Genomic DNA, 21,756 nt, shown 5'->3' with positions numbered 1-21,756 from the left:
TTTTTAAGTGAAATTAAAAACATGAATAATTTCTCACCAGCAGAACTTCTCTATAAGAAATGTTCAAGAGGCCGGGCGCAGTGGCTCACTCCTGTAATCCCAGCACTTTGGGAGGCTGAGGCAGGCGGATCACCTGACGTCTGGAGTTCGAGACCAGCCTGGCCAACACTGCAAAACCCCATCTCTACTAAAAATACAAAAATTAGCCGGGCATGGTGGCAGGTGTCTGTAATCCCAGCTACTCGGGAGGTTGAGGCAGGACAATCGCTTGAACCCAGGAGGTCGAGGTTGCAGTGAGCCGAGATCACACCACTGCACCCCAGCCTGGGCGACAGAGCAAGGATCCATCTCAAAACAAAACAAAACAAAAACAAAAGAAATGTTAAAGGAAGTTCTTTACATTACATTATAAATAATGTAATAATGTATAATAATTCATAATGTATAAGTTCTTTACATTATAACATTATAATGTTTTAACATTATAAAGGAAAACTATATAAGTTACAAAACTAGATATGCTTGGAGGTACTTAGCTTTCCTTTTCTAAGTGCTGTTAATTTTTTCTTTTCTTGTCTTTTCTTTTTCTTTTTTCTTTTGAGATGGGGTCTCACTCTGTGGTCCAGGCTAGAGTGCAGTGGTGCAATCTTGGCTCACTGCAGCCTCAACCTCCTGGGCTAAGCAATCCTCTTGCCTCAGCCTCCCAAAGTGCTGGAATTACAGGCATGAGCCCTATGCCTGGCTGTTAATATTAATTTTTCAGTTTTCAGCTTTGGAGCCATAATACAGCTATCTAAATAGGTGAAGTAGCATTGGCTACACATTCAGCCAAAGAGTTGGTTGAATTCAACTCCTGGCTAAGGCCAGGAGTTCAAGACCAGCCTGGGCAACAATGTAACAAGACCCTGTCTCTACAAAAAAAATTTTTTTGAGACGGAGTTTTGCTATTGTTGCCCAGGCTAGAGTGCAATGGCACGATCTCGGCTCACCGCAACCTCCATCTCTCGGGTTCAAGCAATTCTCCTACCTTAGCCTCCCAAGTAGCTGGGATTACAGGCATGCACTACCACGCCCAGCTAATTTTGTACTTTTAGTAGAGACAGGGTTTCTCCATGTTGGCCCGACCTCAGGTGATCCTCCTGCCTCAGCCTCCCCAAGTGCTGAGATTACAGGTGTGAGCCACTGCACCCAGCCAAAAGAATTTTTTTTAAAGTAGCTAGGCATGGTGGTACACACCTGTAGCTAAGAGGCTGCGATGGGAGGATCTCAAAAGCCCATAGGTTTGAGGCTGCAGTGAGCTATAATTGCATCAGTACACTCCAGCCTGAGTAACAGAGTGAGGCCTTTTCTCTCTCTCTCTCTGTCTCTGTCTCTCTCTCTCCCTCTCTCAAAACAAAGGTGAACTACGCTGTAGCATCTGCATCATTCACAATAGCTAAGATATGGAAACAATTGAAATGCCCATCAATGGATAAACAGATGAAATAAATATGGCATATACACACAATGGAATACTACTCAGCCTCAAGCAGAAAATTATGTCATATTCAACAACATGGATGAACCTAGAGGACATTATGCTAAGTGAAATAAGCATAAGCCAGGCATACAAAGGCAAACACCACATGATATATGGAATCTAAAAAAGTTGAACTCATACACGTAGAGAGTACCAGAGGCTGGAGGGAGTGGGTTAGATAGAGAAAGGAGGTGCCAGTTAAAGGGTACAAGGTTGTGGTTAGACAGGAGTAGTAAGTTCTGGTGATCTATTGCATAGCATGGTGACTACAATTCATAATAATGTATTGTGTATTTCAAAATAACAAAAAGAGTGGATTTTAAATGTCCTCACCACAAAGAAATAAGTATTTGAGGTAATAGATGTGTTAATTACCCTGATTTTTTCATTCCACAACATATACATGTATTGAAACATCACACTGTATCCCACGAACATATACAATTATTATCTGTTAATTAAAAATTTAAAAAAAAGAACTGAAAACTTACATTTGTTAAAAAAATAAAGTCACATTTGTCATTCCCTGTCCCACACTTTTGTTACACAAGAATTTATGAGAAAGAGGAGTGTGGCATGATGGTTACAAAATTACTACTCATTCTAAAATGTTTAGTTAGATTAAGCAAACCAGTTTTTCCACAGTAAAACAAATCACTAAGACTGGTTTTGAGTACAAGGAAAAAGGGCAGTTGTCTTAAATCTCTTTAAACAGATGAAGTAAGCTTAAGATCTTTACTTGCTCCAACATAAAATTCCAACAATTAAATGTTTGGCTTGAGGAACAGCACTTCTCATATGCCAGAGAAATCAAGTGACTGTCCTGTCTTTGATCCTAGAGAATTTTTTTTCTCCAGATCAGACCGACATGCCCCAATGCCTACATGATTAAAAACAAAGGTGACAAAATTACAACTGAAAACTAATTGAAAGTAACTTAAAAATAATTACTGTTGGCTCTGTATGCCTAAAATTAAGAAAAGATTGGTATCAGAATTAAGCAAGGTGAGAAGGATCGCATGGGAATCAACAGACCTTAATGAAAAATTTAACCTTTTACTTGAACAAGACAAAGCCTAGAGCTTCATAGCTTTCCCCAGAAAACTTGGAAACTTAATAGCTACTTAGGGAGAAAGAAGTATGAAATGCATTATAATAAGACTGTTGCATCAGAAAGTTAATTTACTATGTGCATCTGTTAATTAAAATATGCTACTTTAAGAAAAAAAAAACAGAATAAACAGTAACTGTCAATGCTTAAGTCTCCAATAACTGAAGCAAAATTAAACCAGGGAAAGGCTTGTTGCTAGCCTCTTGTACAACTCACAAATATATATATACACATATATCTTTTTTTTGGAAACAGGGTATTGCTTTGTTGCCTAGGTTGGAGTGCAGTGGCACAATCATGGCTCACTGCAGCCTCCATCTCCCATGCTCAAGCAATCCTTCCACCTTAGCTTTTTGAGTAGCTGAGACTATAGGTGTGTACCACCATGCCCAGCTAACTAAAAAAAAAATTTTTTTTGTAGGGACAGGGTCTCACTATCTCACTATGTTGCCCAGACTGGTCTCAAACTTCTGGGCTCAAGGGATCCTTCTGCCTTGGCCTCCCAAAATGCTGGGATTACAAGCATGAGCCACCGCACTCAGCCACAAATATTTTTTGAGCATAGTATTATTTAGTATTGCTCTAGGCACTGCAGCTCCAACATGAACAAAACAGACAAGACCTCTGCTCTCATGGAGCTTACACTCTACCATACAAAAAAAAAAAAACACTCTACCATACAAGAGAAAAAACAGGGCAAGAAGATACAAAATGAATGGAGATAGGAAGGCTTCTTGGAGGACATGACATTTGAGTTAAAACCTGAATGATGAGAGACAGCCAGGTGACAATCTGGGAACAGAACTCTCCAGGCAAGGATAATACAAAGGTATTATAAAAACGTTTAATGGACTATCGCTAAACTAAGTACGTCTAATAAAAAGCATTATCCAGTGATGCCTATGTGTGCTGCAATTTGAAAATCATTGACTGAAAAACAACTCTAATCAGCAAATAAATGGTATGAAATGATCAGGATTAAAATAAGAATATTCATTTATGATAAGAAGCATTTTATTGAATGCTAAGCATAAGTTGCACACTGTGCTAAATTATATATAGTCTCATTTTCTGGCTGAAGACATATTGTGAGATAGTCATGACATTTATAAGTAACCATATTTAAACTATCTTTGTGATAGGGTAGGTCAAAAAGATAAAGATACTCAACTTTCCTCTTAATGCAAAATTTGAAATACCAGGTTAGCATTTCACTTACTGATCTTTAAAAATGTTTATGATTCATATCTAAGGTTGGTAAGGGCAAGAATGAAAAAATCCTCTCATTTCATGTAGTTGTGTGAAAAACTAGTTTAATTTTTTAATGGACAAAAATTATATTTATGGTATATAACATGATGTTTTGATATACATATGTTTTGACATAGTGGCTCACACCTGTAATCCCAGCACTTTGGGAGGCTAGGTCAGGAGGATCACTTAAGGCCAGAGTTCAAGACTAGCCTGGGCAACATAGTGAGAACCCAGCCTCTGTATTAAAAGAGAAATAAATAAATAAGGCTGGGAGTGGTGGCTCATGCCTGTAATCCCAGCACTTTGGGAGGCCAAGGCGGGTGGATCACTTGAGGCCAGAGTTCAAGACCAGCCTGGCCAACATGGTGAAACCCCGTCTCTACTAAAAATACAAAAATTAGGCAGGCATGGTGTTGCACGCTTGTAATCCCAGCTACTCAGGAGGCTGGGGCACAAGAATTGCTTGAACCAAGGAGGAGGAGGTTGCAGTGGGCGGAGATCGAGACACTGCACTCCAGCCTGGGCAACAGAGTGAGACTGTCTCAAAAAAAAAAAAAAAAAGAAAAGAAATGTTCATTATATATTGTTTATGGTAGTGAAAAACTAGAAATAGTCCAAATGTCCATCGATAAGGGATTAATCATGAAACATCTATAATATGTAATACTATGCAGTACTAAAAAAAAAAAAAGAGTAATGATGCAAATTGAAGTACACTGAAATGAAAAAATGTCCAGCGCATACTATAAAGGAAAACACTGCATAACGATTTGTATATAATTTTTTTTTTTTTGAAATGGAGTCTCGCTCTGTTGCCCAGGCAGGAGTACAACGACACAATCTCAGCTCACTGTAACCTCCGTCTCCCAGGTTCAAGTGATTCTCCTGCCTCACCCTCTCTAGTAGCTGGGATTACAGGCACCCGCCACCACGCTCAGGTAATTTTTCTATTTTCAGTAGAGATGGGGTTTCACTATGCTGGTCAGGCTGGTCTCGAACTCCTGACCTCAGGCCATCCACCCGCCTCGGCCTCCCAAAATGCTGGGATTATAGGCATGAGAAACCATGCCCGGCCCCATATAATTTTTTTTTAAGGCCATGGAGGGCCAGGGTGGGTGGCACTGGGCTCCAAGCTCCCCATGCCCACCAGGTCTGCAAAATATCAGCTGTATGTCATTTGTCATGTTAATAAAACTGTTAATAAAGAATTTATAGAAACATACATACACGTTTGCAAATGCATAGAAAATATATAGAAGGATACATACTAAGCTATTCTCTTACAATTGGAATTGGTGAGGGAGGAGAGAGAAAAAAGGAAAAACAGGAGGCTTCTTTTTACATTTCATAAATTTTTGCACTACTTTTTTTCCTGAACAGTGAACATGAATTACTTCAGGAACACTGTTTTAAAAAATGAGAATGTGTTTATGTTTACCTATAGCTTGGAGCTTCAATAATGACTTTCCAGAGTTCTTTATATCAGGGAAGATAGAAATGATCCCAAATATTGAGCTAAATATTATGACATTCCTTAAAATGAAATTCTATTTGTATAACAATTAACAGAAAACTATTGTAAAAAAAGTAGTATATTTAGGGTATCTTCTCTCTTTTTTTATTTCCACAGGTTTTCAAGGAGCAGGTGGTGTTTGGTTACATGAGTAAGTTCTTTTAGTGGTGACTTCTGAGATTTTGCTGCACCTATCACCTGAGCAGTGTACACTGTACCCAATATGTAGGCCTTTATCCCTCACCCCCAACCCACCCTTTCTTTAGGGTACCTTTTAACTAGACTTCCATAATAGTCATGTAAAATAAAATTTAATGTGATCTGCAAAGCTCTTGGGGATCTAGTCTCATGCTTCTCAAACAAATTTCTGTATTCATACAACTCACCCGTGGAGCCTGTTAAACTGTAGGCCAATTCATACTTCACCACTTCATACTTCAGATACAGTGAATTACTGCTTTTCACTCATCATGTTCTTCACATTTCTGTGCCTTTCTACATATTCTTCTTCAGCCTATATGGTTTTCTCCTCACCTCCTCTACCTCAAAAACTTCTACTCTGTTACAGGTTTATGTCAAACATTGCAGATGTATTATAGATGTGTCTTCCTTTGTATTCCTCAAGGCCCCTATGCGTTTATGTTCCAGAATTTATCACATTTGTTACACATGTGTCCATCTCCCTATCAGACTATGGGTTTGAGGATAGGAAATGTCTGTCCTCAGCACACAGATATTTGCTTCTTTTTCCCTTTTTCTTTCTTTTTTTTTTTTTTTTGAGACAGGGTCTTGCTTTGCTTGCTTTGTTGCTGGAGTGCAGTGGCACAATCAGGGCCCATCTTCAGCCTTGACCTTCCAGGCTCGAGCAATCTTCCCACCTCAGCCTCCCAAGTAGCTGGGACCACAGGTGCACGCTACCACCAGATAAGTTTTAAAAACTTTTTGTAGAGACAGGGTCTCACAATGTTGCCCAGGCTGTTCTCAAACTCCTGGCCTCAAGCAATCCTCCCACCTCAGACTCTAAAGTGCTGGGATTACAGGCGTAAGCCTACATATATGATAAATGTTTTCTGAGTACAAGTCACTGAGGTATCAGGTTTCTGCCACTACTTTGAAATAATGATTGTCAAAATCACTTTCATTCCACAATATTTTCTTTAAGGTAATATTCAGCTTAAAAATAGGTAATCTCTTAAATTAAAATATAAGACAACACATATTCAAAATTAAAGTGAAGCTGGGGGCCAGGTGTGGTGGCCCATACCTGTAATCCCAGCACTTTGGGAGGCCTAGGTGGGCAGATCACTTGAGGCCAGGAGTTCAAGACCAGCCTGGGCAACACGGCAAAACCCCGTCTCTACTACAAATACAAAAATTATCTGGGTGTGGTGGTGCACCCCTGTATCCCAGCTACTTGGGAGGCTGAGGCACAAGAATTGCTTGAACCTTGGAGGCGGAGGTTACAGTGAGCTGATATCATGCCACTACACTCCAGCCTGGGCGACAGAGCCAGACTCTGTCTCAAAAAAAAAAAATTTAAATTAAAAAATAAAGTGAAGCTGAATGCAGTGGCTCCTGCTTGCAATCCCAGTACTTTGGGAGGTCATGATGGGAAGATCACTTGAGGCCAGGAGTTGGAGACCAGCCTGGACAACTTAGCAAGACCCTGTCTTTAAAAAATAAAAAAAAAAAATTTAATTCAAAGAAAAAACAAAATTAAAGTAAAACATCACACTATTTGATGAGATGCTTACCTTATGCTTAAAAAAGTCAAGTTAGGCTGGGCACAGTGGCTCACGCCTGCAATGCCAGCACTTTGGGAGGCCGAGGTGGGCAGATCATAAGGTCAGGAGTTTGAGACCAGCTTGGCCAACATAGCGAAACCCCCGTCTCTACTAAAAATACAAAAATTAGCCGGGCATGGTGGTGCACACTTGTAGTCCCAGCTACTTGGGAGGCTGAGGCAGGAGAATCGCTTGAACCCGGGAGGTGGAGGTTTTGGTGAGCCAAGATTAGGCCACTGCACTCTAGCCTGGGCGATAGAGCGAGACTCCGTCTCAAAAAAAAAAAAAAAAAGTCAAGTTAATTTCACATCATTTTGGCGTAAAAGGGGCAAAAAAAAGATTGTGCTCTTCAGTATTCTTTTAAATACTTAAAGAAAAAACAAGAATGGCATCAAATTTCTAATAGTCTTTCCTCTTAAACTTTTTAGGACTCATTATATTTTTACAACAAATGATAGAATAAGATCTTAAAATGCTTACACAGGCAGCCCTGTCTTTACCACTCACCTTCCTCATCTATCCATTTCATGGTGAAGAGCTGTTCGTTGTCAAAAGAACACATGTCTCGAACCTCATTGCAAAGGCCCTCAAAGGAGATGGAAGGTTCAAAATGTGTTATCATGATATCCCTGAAAAAGAAAAGGAGTTTTCAGTTTGAAAATGATTAAAAATAATAATGCTGTATATATTACTGAATGCTTGACAATTTGATGAACTTCAGTAATTTTGTGTGTGCATCAACATGTATTGCTTTCAGTAAATGATTTCATTCAAGTAAAAATTAAAATATCAAGCTGGGCACGGTGGCTCATGCACTTTGGGAGGCTGAGCTGGGCAGATCACTTTAGCCCAGGAGCTCAAGACCAGCCTGGGCAACATGGTGAAACCCCGTCTCTACTAAAAATACAAAAAAAAAATTAGCCAGAGGCTGAGGTGGGAGGATCCTTCTCAGGGGGGGAACATGGGAGGTGTAGGTTACAGTGAGCTGAGATCACATCACTGCACTCCAGCCTGGGCAACAGAGGAGACTGTGTCAAAAAAATAAATAAAAACAAAAGAAAACAAAAAAATCAAATACATATATACACACTTGCATAATTATATTGTTTTAAATAGTTTTTAAAAATAAAAATAGAAAATAGCTTATTTTAATGACAAAAGAGAATTGCTTGATTTAAAGCAATTTTTCTTTCAAAGAACCCTCAAGGTTACTAGTATGAGGGCATAGGGTTGAGAGAATGTATTCTGGAATTAAATTAGAAGAAGAAAATTCTATGAAATTTCTCTGTCAAAGAATAAGTGTAAAATTATCTTTCTTGAATAAGAGGGAAAAAATTAGTTACACTGGATATCATCGAAATATAACTTCCTTATCAAAGTCCACATTTAAAATTAACAGAAAGGTAAACATATTTGTAAACAACAAGGCTTTTTCATAAATTTTACTTTTCAAAAGCTAAAAAACACTTATCAGAACATACAAATACTTTTAAGACATCTGTGTAATACTTAAAAAGTATAAGTATAAGGCTGGGCGTGGTGGCTCACACCTGTAACCCCAGCACTTTGGGAGCCTGAGGCAGATGGATCACCTGAGGTTGGGAGTTCGAGACCAGCCTGACCAATATGGAGAAACCCTGACTCTACTAAAAATAAAAAATTTGCTGGGTGTGGTGGCACATGCCTGTAATCCCAGCTACTCAGGAGGCTGGGGCAGAAGAATCGCTTGAACCCGGGAGGCGGAGATTGCAGTGAACCAATCACACCATTGCACTCCAGCCTGGGCAACAAGAGCGAAACTCCATCTCAAAAAAAAAAAAAAAAAAAGTGTAAGTATAGGCTGGGTGTGGTGGCTCACACCTGTAATCCCAGTACTTTGGGAGGCTGAGGTGGGCGGATCACTAGAGGTCAGGAGTTCGAAATCAGCCCGGCAAACACAGTGAAACTCCGTCTCTACTAAAAATACAAAAATTAGCCAGGCATGGTGGTGGGTGCCTATAATCCCAGCTACCTGGGAGGCTGAGGCAGGATAACCGCTTGAACCCAGGAGGCGGAGGCTGCAGTGAGCCGTGATTGCGTCACTGCACTCCAGCCTGGATGATAAAGTGAGATTCTGTTTAAAAAAAAAAAAGTTTAAGTATAGATACCCATCAGAGACTCAATGAAGGAGTTATGCTTTATCAACTACCACTCCTTAAGTTCCAGGAACTAAAACATTCAAGGGAGTTTTATATAAACACTTAGCTCTCAGTAATTGCGAAACCACTATGTTCATAACATTCCACAATCACCAGATCCTTGTTACAGTACCAAAGCTAAAAATGAACTGCAAAATAAAGATATTACATTCTAAAGGTATAAAACAAATTATGCACGTATGATGTTTTTTCCAGTTTAACTTCAGCACTAGCATAAATTATTTTACCACTGATCCTCAACAGAATATAATCTGCTTTATCACAAAGATTCCCAAAATGGCAAATTTAGATATGGTTTTAGCTGAATTTTTTTAAGCATTTTTTATTTTGCTATTGAGCTTCAGAAGACAAACTGCTTTCAATGTGCCTATATTCTAAAATATAGAATCTATTATAAAGTTTTTCCTTAGGACTAATTGCTTTTAAAAATAAACCCCCAAAAGAATCACATTCAGTCCTTCTGCTACCTCAGTGTAAGCTTTTCTTCTAAATTAGGCTATTCGAAAAAATACTTTTATTTGCAATAACCATTATAATAATTGGTTTAGGCAGGATTATCCATGAATGGTAAGACCATTGGGCAAAATGTTTTGGGGGACTAGAGTATTCATATAATCTCAAAGTATCACCCCCCAAATTATTAATTATAAAAAAGGTCATAAAGCAATTTCCACCTTTTAATAATGAAGAAGATAGTGAATTCAAAAATAACAATTGTGAAATATGAATGTAACAATAAAGTAAAAAAGCAATGTTATAAAGCCCTGTCAATGTAGTAAGGGGAAAAGAGAAATCTCTTTGAAGTTCAAGGTCCAGTTTTGGCTGGGCAAGGTGGCTCGTGCCTGTAATCCCACCTACTCAGGATGCTGAGGCGGGAGGATCACCTCAGGAGTTCAAGGCCAGCCTCAGTGACAGAACAAGACCCTGTCTCTAAAAAAAATTTTTTTGTAATTAGCCAAGCATAGCGTAGTCCCAGCTACTCACGAGAATCATTTGAGCCCAGGAGTTCAAGGCTGCAGTGAGCCATGATCGAGCCATTGGACTTCAGCTTGGGCGACAGAGCAAGACTCTGTCTCTAAAAAAAAAAACACACCCAGCTTTGTATTGTGGGTTAGTAAGTCTCAATGTTATCTGAAAAATGGAGATAATCATATCTGCCTCTGAGTATTATCATGAAGACTAAATAAGTGCAGCTTGAGCCCAGGAAGTTGAGGCTGCAGTGAGCTGTGACTATGTCATTGCACTCTAGCCTGGGTGATGGAGGAAGACACTGACTCAAAAAATGAAAAATAAATGAAAATAAATGAGTGCAGCCAGGCAAGGTGGCTCATGCCATAATCCCAGCACTTTGAAAGGCCAATGTGGGAGGATCGCTTCGGTACAGGAGTTCGAGGCCTGCCTGGGCAACACAGGGAGACCTTGTCTCTACAAAAAAATTAAAAATTAGCCAGACATAGTGGTGTGTGCCTACAGTCCCAACTACTTGGGAGGCTGAGGTAGGAGGACTGCGTGAGCCTGGGCAGTTAAGGCTGCAGTGAGCTGTGATTACACCACTGTACTCAGCCTGGGTGACAGAGTAGAAATGTGCCTCAAAAAAAAAAAAAGTGCAAAATACTTATCATGGTTCTTTTTCTTTTGTTCCACTTTTTTCAGTTGAGTTTTTTTTGAGACAGAGTCTCGCTCTGTCACCCAGGTTGAAGTGCAGTGGCACAATTACAGGCGTGAGCCACCACACTCGGCCTCAGTAACATTTCTGAATAACACTAACTTTAATTCTTTAAAAGCTTTTTTCTTTAATTGACAGAAATTTTTCTATTATATTTCACTAAGATAAGAGATTATTACTATAATTCAATACTGTCTAGAAAATTCTAGCCTATGGCTAAAAATAAATAAGGCTGGGCGCAGTGGCTCACACCTGTAATCCTAGCACTTTGGGAGGCCAAGGTGGGTGGATTACCTGAGGTCAGGCGTTCGAGACCAGTCTGGCCAACATGGCGAATCCCCATCTCTACTAAAACTACAAAAATTAGCCAGGTGTGGTGGTGCACGCCTGTAATCCTAGCTACTCAGGAGGCTGAGGCAGGAGAATCACTTGAACTTGGGACGCGGAGGTTGCAGTGAGCCGAGATCACGCCACTACACTCCAGCCTGGGCGACAGAGTGAGACTCTGTCTCAAAAAACATAAAATAAATAATAAATAAATAAATAAGATATAGAAAAGAAGAGGCAAAATTGCTACTTGCAGATGACATTATCTAGCTTAAAAATTCTAAGACAGTTAAATTATTAGTAAGGTGGAAAGTTTAATTTAAACATACAAAAAGAAAACAGTATGTAATAGGTCTACAAGAAGACCCCATTCACAAAAGCACATGATTATAAAATATATAGGAATAGGCCGGGCACGGTGGCTCAAGCCTGTAATCTCAACACTCCGGGAGGCCGAGGCAGATGGATCACCTGAGGTAAGGAGTTCCAGACCAGCCTGGCCAACATGGTGAAACCCCATTTTCACTAAAAATACAAAAATTAGCCAGGCATGGTAGCGCCTTGCCTGTAATCCCAGCTACTTGAGAGACTGAGACTGGAGAATCGCTTGAACCTGGGAGGCGGAGGTTGCAGTGAGCCAAGATCACGCCACTGCGCTCCAGCCTGGGTGACAGTGCAAGGCTCCATCTCAAAAAAAAAAAAAACAAAAAAAAAAAATTAAATAATGAATCAAGCCATTCCATAACATATATCAAAGTTAACTATAATATTACAATAATTAAACCAATAGTGGTATGTGCAAAAATAGATCTCTCCCCTAAAATCAATGAAACAATAGAAAGTACCTACGCACATTGTGGGAAATTTAGTACATAACAGAGTTACCATTTCAAATCAGTGGTGAAAGGACAATCTGCCCAATAATGGTATTAGAATAAATTTTGGAGAAAAAAAAAGTTGTGTCAGTACCCTATAAATGACTAAACCCCAAAATACCAGATTCACTGAAAAGATAATCACTTTAAAAGTTTCATAATAAGCCAGGCGCAGTGGCTCACGCCTAAAATCCCAGCACTTCGGGAGGCCACAGCGGGTGAATCACTTGAGGTCACGAGTTTGGGACCAGCCTGGCCAACATGGCAAAACCCTGTCTCTACTAAAAATAAAAAATTAGCCGGACATGGTGGCGCATGCCTGTAATCCCAGCTACTTGGGAGGCTGAGGCAGGAGAATCACTTCAACCCAGGAGGCAGAGGCTGCAGTGAGCCAGGATCGTGCCACTGCACTCCAGCCTGGGCGACTGAGCAAGACCTTGTCTCAAAAAACAAACAAAAATTAGCCGGGTGTTGTGGCGTGCGCCTATAATCCCAGCTACTTAGGAGGCTGAGGCAGGAGGATTGTTAGAACCCAGGAGGCAAAGGTTGCAGTAAGACGAGATCACGCCACTGGGTTCTACCCTGGGCAACAAAGCAAGACTCTGTCTCAAAAAAAAAAAAAAAAAAGTTGCATAATAGAAGAAAAATAGAATATTTTTAGATGAAAAACACTTTTACCTAAGACAGTAAATCCAGAAACTATCAAGGAAATTTTTAAAAAGGACAGGTTTGATGACATAAAAACGAAAAACTCCAGACTAGCAACAGATTGGGGAAATGCTGGCAACTTTAACAAAATGTCAATGTCCTGTCAACAAATTAATAAGAAAAATAATACAATAGAAAATGGGTAAAATAGGAACAATCCAGAAGAAATACAAATGATCATTAATATATAAAAGATACTTGTAAAAATAAATTACCATTTTTTGCCAATCTGACAGTCAAAAATTTAAAAGACAGATAACATGCAATGGGAATATAAGGCAGAAGCTTCACTAGTCCTGTTGTTAAGAATGTAAATTAAGCTCTTTTGGGAAACAATATCATATTTCAAGATAGGCATATCTTTGACCATATTTACAAGAATATGTATTAAATATAAGGAGGTTCCTTCAACATTATTTGAAATAGTGAGTTGATGAAGACAACTTTAAATGTTCATCAATCCGAAAAAAGATTAAACATATTATGGTGGCTGGGCGCAATGGCTCATGCCTGTAATTTCTACACTTTGAGAGGCCGAGGCAGGAGAATCACTTGAGCACAGGAGCTTGAGACCAGCCCCGTCCCTACAAAACATATTAAAAAAAATTAGCTGAGCCTAGTGGCGTGAGCTAATCCTAGCTACTCAGGAGGCTGAGGTGGGAGGACTGCTTGAACCCAGAGTGGTTGAGGCTGCAGAGGGCCTAGATCATGCCACTGCACTCCAGCGTAGGCAACAGAATCAGACTCTGTCTCTTAAAACAACAACAACAACTGTAGAACACTGTATTACCAACTATAAAGAGGTCTGTCTACCCTGGAATGAAAAGATGACCACGATTTTTAAAATCAAGTTGCAGATGCATGTGTGGAAATATGAACTCATTTATTGGAAAAATAAAAGGGTATGTCTGTGTGTGTGTATGCACATACATATCTATACTTATAAATATACCGATATGATATAGAATATCCCTAACTGTTAACAATGGCTATCTCTAGAAAGTGGGAGTGAGACAGCCATAAAAAATAATGAAATCACGTCTTCTACACCAGCATGGATGGAACTGAAGGCCATTATCCCTAGTCAAAAAAATCAGAAACAAAAAGCCAGATACCACATATTCTCACTTATAAGTGAGAGCTAAACAAAGGGTACACATGGACATAAAGAGGGAATAGTAGACATTGGAGACTACAAAAGGTGGGAGGGGGGTGAGGGTTGAAAAATACCTATCGGGTACAGGTAATTTTCTGGGTTTTACTGTTTACTGTTCCGGTGATGGGTACACTAAGTGACCAGACTTCATGGCTACATGATACAAACATGTAAGAAAGAAAGAAATCTGCACTTGTACCCTTTAAATATATAAAAATAAACTAATAAAATAAAATAAGGTGGGAGTGAGAGACTACAGGGGAACTTTATATGTGTGTGTATGTATATGTGTGTGTGTGTGTGTGTGTGTGTATATATATATATATTTGTGTGTGTGTATGTCTGTGTGTGTGTGAGACAGGGTCTCACTCTGTTGCCCAGGCTGGAGTGCAGTGGTGCAATCACAGCTCACTGCAGCCTTGACTTCCTGGCCTCAGGTGATTCTCCCACCTCGCCCTCCTAGTAGCTAGGACTACAGGCTAATTTTTTTGTAGAGATAGGGTTTCACCACATTCAGCCCAGGCTGGTCTCCAATTCCTGGGCTCAAGTGATTCACCTGCCCTGACCTCCCAAAGTGCTGGGATTACAGGCATGAACCACCATACCCAGCCTCTTTCTGTATTTCTATATTTTTAAAATTTAGTTTTAGTGCCTTGCCTTTGTGATCTGTATTTGGCCACTGGTGTCATTTTTGTTTCTATTATCGTTCTCAGCCACATTCCTACATAGGTTAGCTGTCAAGCACAGTGCTTGCAACACAGAGTAGACAGACAATAAATAATTGCTCCATTCTTTCTGACATTTCCTCCTGAATGCCTCATAAACACCTAGAACTCAAAATTCAGTGAATTGTTCCAGCCAATTAATTAACTTCTCCCACAAATCTCTTCCACATTCCCCAGTCTCTCTTAAACGAGAAACCTATGAGTTGTCCAACTCCCGTCACCCCTACAAGACTATCTTTAATTCTACTGATACTACCCCTTAAAATTTCCACCGAATCCATACACTCTTTTCTCTCTCCTTAAAATATCTCATCTGGACTACTTCAAAAGCCTCCAAATTAGTTTCATCCATCACCAATCCATCTCCCATACTAATTTCAAGTGTTATCTTTCTAAAATGCAAATCTGATCATGTATTTCTCTTACTTAGAATTTTCATCAATGAGAAAAAGTCTAAACTCTGCAGTATGACATTCAAGGGTCTTTACAATCTAGCCCCTGTGAACTTTCTTAGCCTCATTTCTCATCAGTGCCCACTTCATACTTTATATCCTAATAAGGAATGAATATGAGACTAACAGCCAAAGTGATCTTAATTCTGCAAACTTACCATGTGGTTGTTTAATGCCTATAACACCCACCTAACATCATTATTCACCAGGCAAACTCCTAGTTATCCTTTAAAAGCCTCAGACATTTCCTCTAGGAAGGCTTCCATCACCCCAAACTCCTCCCCAACGTCTATTCCTGCAAATACCTTACATAGGTACTTCAAATTAAATTGTTTCTATTGTAACTCTTATATGTCCTTCCCTCCACAAGTCTCTTAATTCCTTAAAGGCAGAGCCTTACCTACCTCTACATTCTCTGTGCCTACGACAGCATCATGTGCCTGGATTACGGACGTTCAACAATATTTACTAAACTCAGTTTGAATGATCTCTGGTTATATTTGAAATCTTAAGCAAGACTGGAATTTTTAAAATCTATGTTTAAATTAGGCTCATTTCAATCATAAAAAAAACAGACACTAAAGTTGTAAAAGGAGGGCTGCAGTTGCATTAGAAAGCCATCATGAACTAAGGACCTGTGGGGAGAATTTTTCTGTGCAGAGTTGCTCCTTTCTCCTTTGCTTCCTCAGTTTCTGCTTCTTCACATCTTTCATTTGCACATTGTCAGTTCTGGCCTCGCCAGACTCTCCCTCCAACTCCAGCTTCAGTTCCCAGTGCTGACCAATTTTATCTCCATATTTTCTCATTCAAATTTCTGAGGGTTTTTTGTGTTTGGTTTGGGTTTTTTGGCACCAGGCTAGCATGCTCTATTTTTTTCTCTCTTTGGCCAAGCTATGGATCAGCTGCCCTAGGATTAGGTGCCATGGCTGAAGCTCTAAGACCAATTAGCTAACATCCCCCCAACCCTCAAGATACCACTTGTATTTCCTCAGAACCATTACTAAAGTATATTGCTAAAATAATCTTGCATTTCTTTCAAAAACAAGTCTTGCCAAGACTTGTTCACAGTAAGAAAAATCCTACATACTTCTTCACTGAAGCAGCTATTCCAAATATGCAAAGAGTTAATCTTTTATTTCTAGATGTGCACAGAAGGAATCCTCTGTATTGTTATTACTACTTGACAGCAGCGGTTTAAAAAGAACTTTCACAAGCTTTCTGCAAAAATTTCCATACATATATAATGTAAAGAAATGAGCAGTCCAGATGTTGCCTTGTTAAAGTCTATCCCATAATAGCAAGTAATTTTATATAAGGATAAGCACATACATTGACAGTTTATCACTAATTAATGAAACCTGTTTCTCTTCCTCCAAACTACTAGCACTAGGTAATAACTGAAGGCCCCTCACTGAAAAGCTTCCTTGCTAGGAAAAGACGGGTGCAGGCCATGAGAAAGGCATCTAAGTAAGATGTGGTGTCCAATAAAATTGAATTTTCAGTGCTATTAATCTCTTGCTTAAAAACTAGATGTAAATTGGCTGGGCAAGATGGCTCATTCCTGTAATCCCAACACTTTGGGAGACCGAGGTGGGTGGATCACTTGAGGTCAGAAGTTGGGAGACCAACCTGGCCAACATGGTGAAAACCCGTCTCTACTAAAATACAAAAATTAGCTGGGCGTGGTGGTGGGCGCCTGTAGTCCCACCTACTCGGGAGGCAGCCGCAGGAGAATCCCTTGAACCTGGGAGGCGGAGGTTGCAATGAGCCGAGATCACGCCACTGCACTCCAGCCCAGGTGACAGAGCGAGACTCCATCTCCAAAAAAATAAATAAATAAAATAAAATAAAATAAAAATTAGAAAAAAATTAAATGTTATTAGATCTAGAGAGATTACACGTTTTCACTGAGATCAAGCTTAACAGAATAATAACACTATACACATCTTTGAAAAGAGAGGGCAATTTTTTCACTAAAAAAAATGCTGGCTATTAAATGAGTCAACATTCACTGGAAAGAAATATTGTTAGAAAAGGGTAGTGGAGCCAGGTACAGTGGCTCACACCTGTAATCCCAGCACTTTGAGAGGCTGAGGCAGGAGGATCACTTGAGCCCAGGAGTTTGGGATTAGCCTGGGCAACACGGTGAGACCTTGTCTCTATTTAAAAAAAAAAAAAAGAAAAGAAAAGTGTAGAGGGATAGAGGAAATGCTATGTAATAATGGCCCTTCAGAAGATTGGAGAGAAAAGAAAACTTTTTCAAATGCAGAATGTTCTCACATTTCTTGGTATAAAGGAAGGATTTTCTATTTTAAAATCAGGTAGGTGTTCTAGTTAGCCAACCTGTTTATTAACTATCCTTGTCCGTGACTCATTTTAGCTTCATCTATATTAATGAGCAGCTGACTATGTAATACCACAATCATCAGTTTAGACTATACAAACACATAATCTTAACATCTAATTTCAGAGGACAGGAATTTGGTACAATTTAGAGTGCTGATATTGTCTTTAAATGAGGCTTGAAATGAAGGTACCATTAGAAAGCTTTCATTGAGCAAAGACCAGTATACAATGGGCAAGAGGTTATTTGCGCCGCAGCAAAATTTCACAGATTTTAAAAGACAATGTTACCTTGAATGTCTTGGAAAAATTGCAGTCAAACACTAAAGAAGCTGTATGTCCTTATTCTCTTCTTTTTAATAACTGGAGCAATAAGCCAAGATAATTTGCTATCTAAATTCATGAAGTACAGCAAGACTTTGATTTCTTCTCAAAGGAGTTTACAATGATTTTCATTTACTAACTGGGCCTATTTACATGTGTCAAACTAATACAAATGGGAAAATAGAAGCACTAATTTCTTACCTTTCATAGACTCATTGGAGAAGATGATCTCAATTAATAAGAATTTATTGAAAGCCTTAGGGCCAGGCGCAGTGGCTCATGCCTGTAATCCCAGCAATTTGGGAAGCCAAGACGAGCGCATCATTTGAGGCCAGGAGTTCAAGACATGCCTGGCCAATATGGTGAAACCCCGTCTCTACTAAAAATACAAAAATTAGCCGGGTGTGGTGGCACATGCCTGTAATCCCAGCTACTCAGAAGGCTGAGGCAGGCGAATTGCTTGAACCCGGGAGGCGGAGAATGCAGTGAGCCGAGATTGTGCCACTGCACTCCAGCATGGGTAACAGAGTAAGACCCTGTCTCAAAAACAAACAAACAAAAATAAAATAAAAGAATAAAGTGAAACATCTCATTCATCAAATTACAGGTAAGGGTTTAAAAAAAAAAAAGCAAAGGAAGCTTTTTTCTCACCTTGCAAAGTTCATGGCTGACCATCCTCAAGTCAAAACAGCTCTTGTGACAACTACAAACTTTAAAAAATATCCACACGTTTCTTGGTACTGATTTAAAATAAAAACCTCCTTAATCAGTTTTACCTGCTTAAACACAAAGTTATCATACTGTCCAATATAACTCCAATAAACTACTCCTGCATACAGTCAAGCTAATAATAAACAGAGGCCAGAGGCTTCATGGCAGCAAATTTAAAAGTCCTTACATCAAGGACAAAAAACCAAACACCGCATGTTCTCACTCACAGATGGGAATTGAACAATGAGAACACATGGACACAGGAAGGGGAACATCACACCCTGGGGACTGTTGTGGGGTGGGGGGAGGGGGGAGGGATACCATTAGGAGATATACCTAATGTAAATGACGAGTTAATGGGTGCAGCACACCAGTATGGCACATGTATACACATGTAACTAACCTGCACATTGTGCACATGTACCCTAAAACTTAAAGTATAATAATAAAAAAAAAAGTCCTTACATCAAATCAATACAACATTTAGGGGCTCAGATTTTCTTTGAAATCAAAACAAGAGAGGTAGTTTGAGAGTTTGCTATCTTCACTGATCCTCTCAGGAATGTAAAAGTATGCATTAAAATTTCAACCTAGCACTGCTTGAGTTTTTTAAAGCAATTTACTTCTACCTGGACAAGCAGTAAGGCAAGCCAAAGTAGCTGGGTTTTCTGTGACTTCTCAGTCTCCAACCTTTATGGTCACACTAACATTTCACGTTTCTAATGCTCCTAAACATAATTATCTCAAAAAAAAATTCAAACCACAACTGAATTTAAAGGAAGGGGGGCACTTTGCGTCACTGATAGAAAATGATTTAACACAATGAACTTAGAACTGGGTTTTTTCTTGTAACCATAGTAAGGGAGTGAAGATCAGAGAATTTAAAACTGTAACTAGGCTAGTCTCCTCACCTTGCAGTATCTCACCCTATCGGGTAGTCGTTGAAACAACACTGAGAAAGAAAGGCTCACAAAATTTTGATTTACACACATGCAACTTAATCTTGACGACACGTAAGTACCCACTGCACGTCCCTGAAAACGCATCGACTTGATTCTTAAATACAACCCCTATGTCTAATATACTGGCAGTGCAGATACACTACGTGAACACAACGGGGATGGAGGTATATCTCAGAGAACCAGAGGCGTTAGGCCTGCTGGTAATCAAAACGGACAGCTAACTGAAGAAGTCCCGTTTTCTATCCCCACAGCAAACTGAGTTAACTAAGGCATCACTTGGAATCCTCAACTCGCAACCCCAAATACACCCAGACTTAAGGATGCAAGGCCCCTACAAAGCTCTCAGGAGGCGAGTCTCTCGTCCACACCAGGTGCACCTACTCTAACCCTAGCTTCCTTCTCGGACCCTACTCTGGCCCCTCGGCTCCCCGCACCGCCATACCTGGGGGCGCCCCCAGTACTGCATCCCCTTGCTTCGCCCCCACCCCTATCACTTCGTCACTCACCCTGAGTCACCGGAGCCGCCCGCCCGCCCAGCCCAATCCGCCCACAACACCTCCAGCCCCTCACCCTCCCCTCCTCCAGGCCGAGTGGAGCCGGCCTGTCCCCTCCCGCCCACCGCCCTGTCCCAGGACACTCACCCGCGGTAGTAGGCTTTCACCCGGACCTGGTGGGAATGGTCCCCGCTGCCGCCGCCTGCGACCGTGTGGGACATGGTGCTGCTGTCCCTCTGGGTCGGCATCTCCTCACTCCCCCGCCTCAACGCTGGAGGCCGGGGGTGCGGGGGGGCGCTTCGGGCGCCGTGGGGGACTCCGCCGCCTGCGCTTGCCGGAGAACCGCGGCCGTCCGCCCACCTACCTGCCCACCTCGCCCGCAGCGCCGACCCAAGGGTCGCCTCGCCGGAGCAGCCGGAACCGCGCGGCTCCTCCCACTGCCCGTAGGCGCCGCCGCCTCTACAGCCGCCCGGGCCCAAGACACCTCCTGCGTCGGTCCCTCCCACTTCGCTCGCTCCAAAGGCCCACATTCCGGGGTAGGGCGGGCGCAACCATCCAGCCAGCTCAAGGAGCCTCAATACCGGGCTGAACCATCCTTACGGGGGCAGAGAAAGGGGACAGAGGGAATGGGAGACGCTGATCATGGCATCAAACACGCCGAGAGGGGTGCTTTCACGCGAGCTGTGAAAGAGACAATGACCAGCTCTAGATCACTAAAGTCTCTTCCCTGCAGGGACAATGGTAGGGACAAATTCTACGACACCTCACCCTAGCCTCGCAACTTGGTCACGTCTGCGGTCGGCCGACTTGGCACCCGGGATAGATTTGCGTGCAGGTTTCTGGGATTTGGAGTCCTCATAGGATTCTGGGACTTGAGGTTCCTTGCGCGTAGGGTGCCGCGCCTTCCCGCTGGTGAAGTCTGTCTCTCCAGCGTGCTCCCTGGAGCTGTCGGGGTGGAAAACCTGGATCCAGCTTGGGCATCTGAAGGTCCTGGAAATGACTGGGCTTCCTCACGTTCTAGACTTTATTAACTGATGAAGTCTCCCTTCTTCTAATTGCATAAATCGTCTGAATTATACATGTCTTTTGGGGGAACAAGAATTTGGTTACCTGCTCAGCATAACCTCTTTTATGGAAATAATTTAATAACATATGTAACAAATATAATAAAGGAAGAAACTCAACCAGAAAATATGATGAAAAACCGATTTTTCTTCTTTGGGGGCCCCCATATCTAGGCCCTTGTAGACTGCCCTTGCATGGAACAAGAGCCCAATGAATACTTACCCAATCAAGTCAGTCAATCCAAGAGCATTTCATTCTGTAAAAACTGGCTTACCAAAGATTAGAAAGAATCGTCCTTGGCCGGGCGCGGTGGCTCAAGCCTGTAATCCCAGCACTTTGGGAGGCCGAGGCGGGCGGATCACAAGGTCAGGAGATCGAGACCATCCTGGCTAACACGGTGAAACCCCGTCTCTACTAAAAACACAAAAAATTAGCCGGGCGTGGTGGCGGGCGCCTGTAGTCCCAGCTACTCGGGAGGCTAAGGCAGGAGAATGGCGTGAACCAGGGAGGCGGAGGTTGCAGTGAGCCAAGACTGTGCCACTGCACTCCAGCCTGGGCGACAGAGCAAG

At 41.1% G+C, this 21,756-nt stretch overlaps 1 protein-coding gene across 2 annotated transcripts in view, besides 4 other annotated features; it reads right to left on the bottom strand.

The window, feature by feature from the left end:
• The window catches only part of PRKCI (protein kinase C iota), an 83,554-nt gene extending 62,938 nt beyond the window's left edge, over window positions 1–20,616 (bottom strand). For both annotated transcript variants that reach the window (NM_002740.6, XM_047448574.1), the window contains exons 1-2: window positions 20,270–20,616; window positions 7,689–7,810 (exon numbers count right to left, since the gene is read on the bottom strand). In NM_002740.6, coding sequence (NP_002731.4) covers window positions 7,689–7,810; window positions 20,270–20,370 — 223 coding nt within the window. In that variant the 5' untranslated portion in view covers window positions 20,371–20,616. The remainder of the gene's footprint in view (window positions 1–7,688; window positions 7,811–20,269) is intronic.
• Window positions 20,256–20,545: a silencer, noted in NCBI's record as "silent region_14882". NCBI's record gives its function as "represses an Ori minimal core promoter by ATAC-STARR-seq in GM12878 lymphoblastoid cells {active_cell/tissue: GM12878}" and the evidence as "EXISTENCE:reporter gene assay evidence [ECO:0000049][PMID:35858748]".
• Window positions 20,726–20,885: an enhancer, noted in NCBI's record as "active region_20801". NCBI's record gives its function as "activates an Ori minimal core promoter by ATAC-STARR-seq in GM12878 lymphoblastoid cells {active_cell/tissue: GM12878}" and the evidence as "EXISTENCE:reporter gene assay evidence [ECO:0000049][PMID:35858748]".
• Window positions 20,896–20,955: an enhancer, noted in NCBI's record as "active region_20800". NCBI's record gives its function as "activates an Ori minimal core promoter by ATAC-STARR-seq in GM12878 lymphoblastoid cells {active_cell/tissue: GM12878}" and the evidence as "EXISTENCE:reporter gene assay evidence [ECO:0000049][PMID:35858748]".
• Window positions 21,026–21,085: an enhancer, noted in NCBI's record as "active region_20799". NCBI's record gives its function as "activates an Ori minimal core promoter by ATAC-STARR-seq in GM12878 lymphoblastoid cells {active_cell/tissue: GM12878}" and the evidence as "EXISTENCE:reporter gene assay evidence [ECO:0000049][PMID:35858748]".

This window comes from Homo sapiens, chromosome 3 (genome assembly GCF_000001405.40).
Source record: "Homo sapiens chromosome 3, GRCh38.p14 Primary Assembly".
In the NCBI taxonomy this organism is placed as follows: Eukaryota; Metazoa; Chordata; class Mammalia; order Primates; family Hominidae; genus Homo; species Homo sapiens.
Note: the sequence above shows the minus strand (reverse complement) of the source record. Positions and strands in the feature narration are given on the sequence as shown.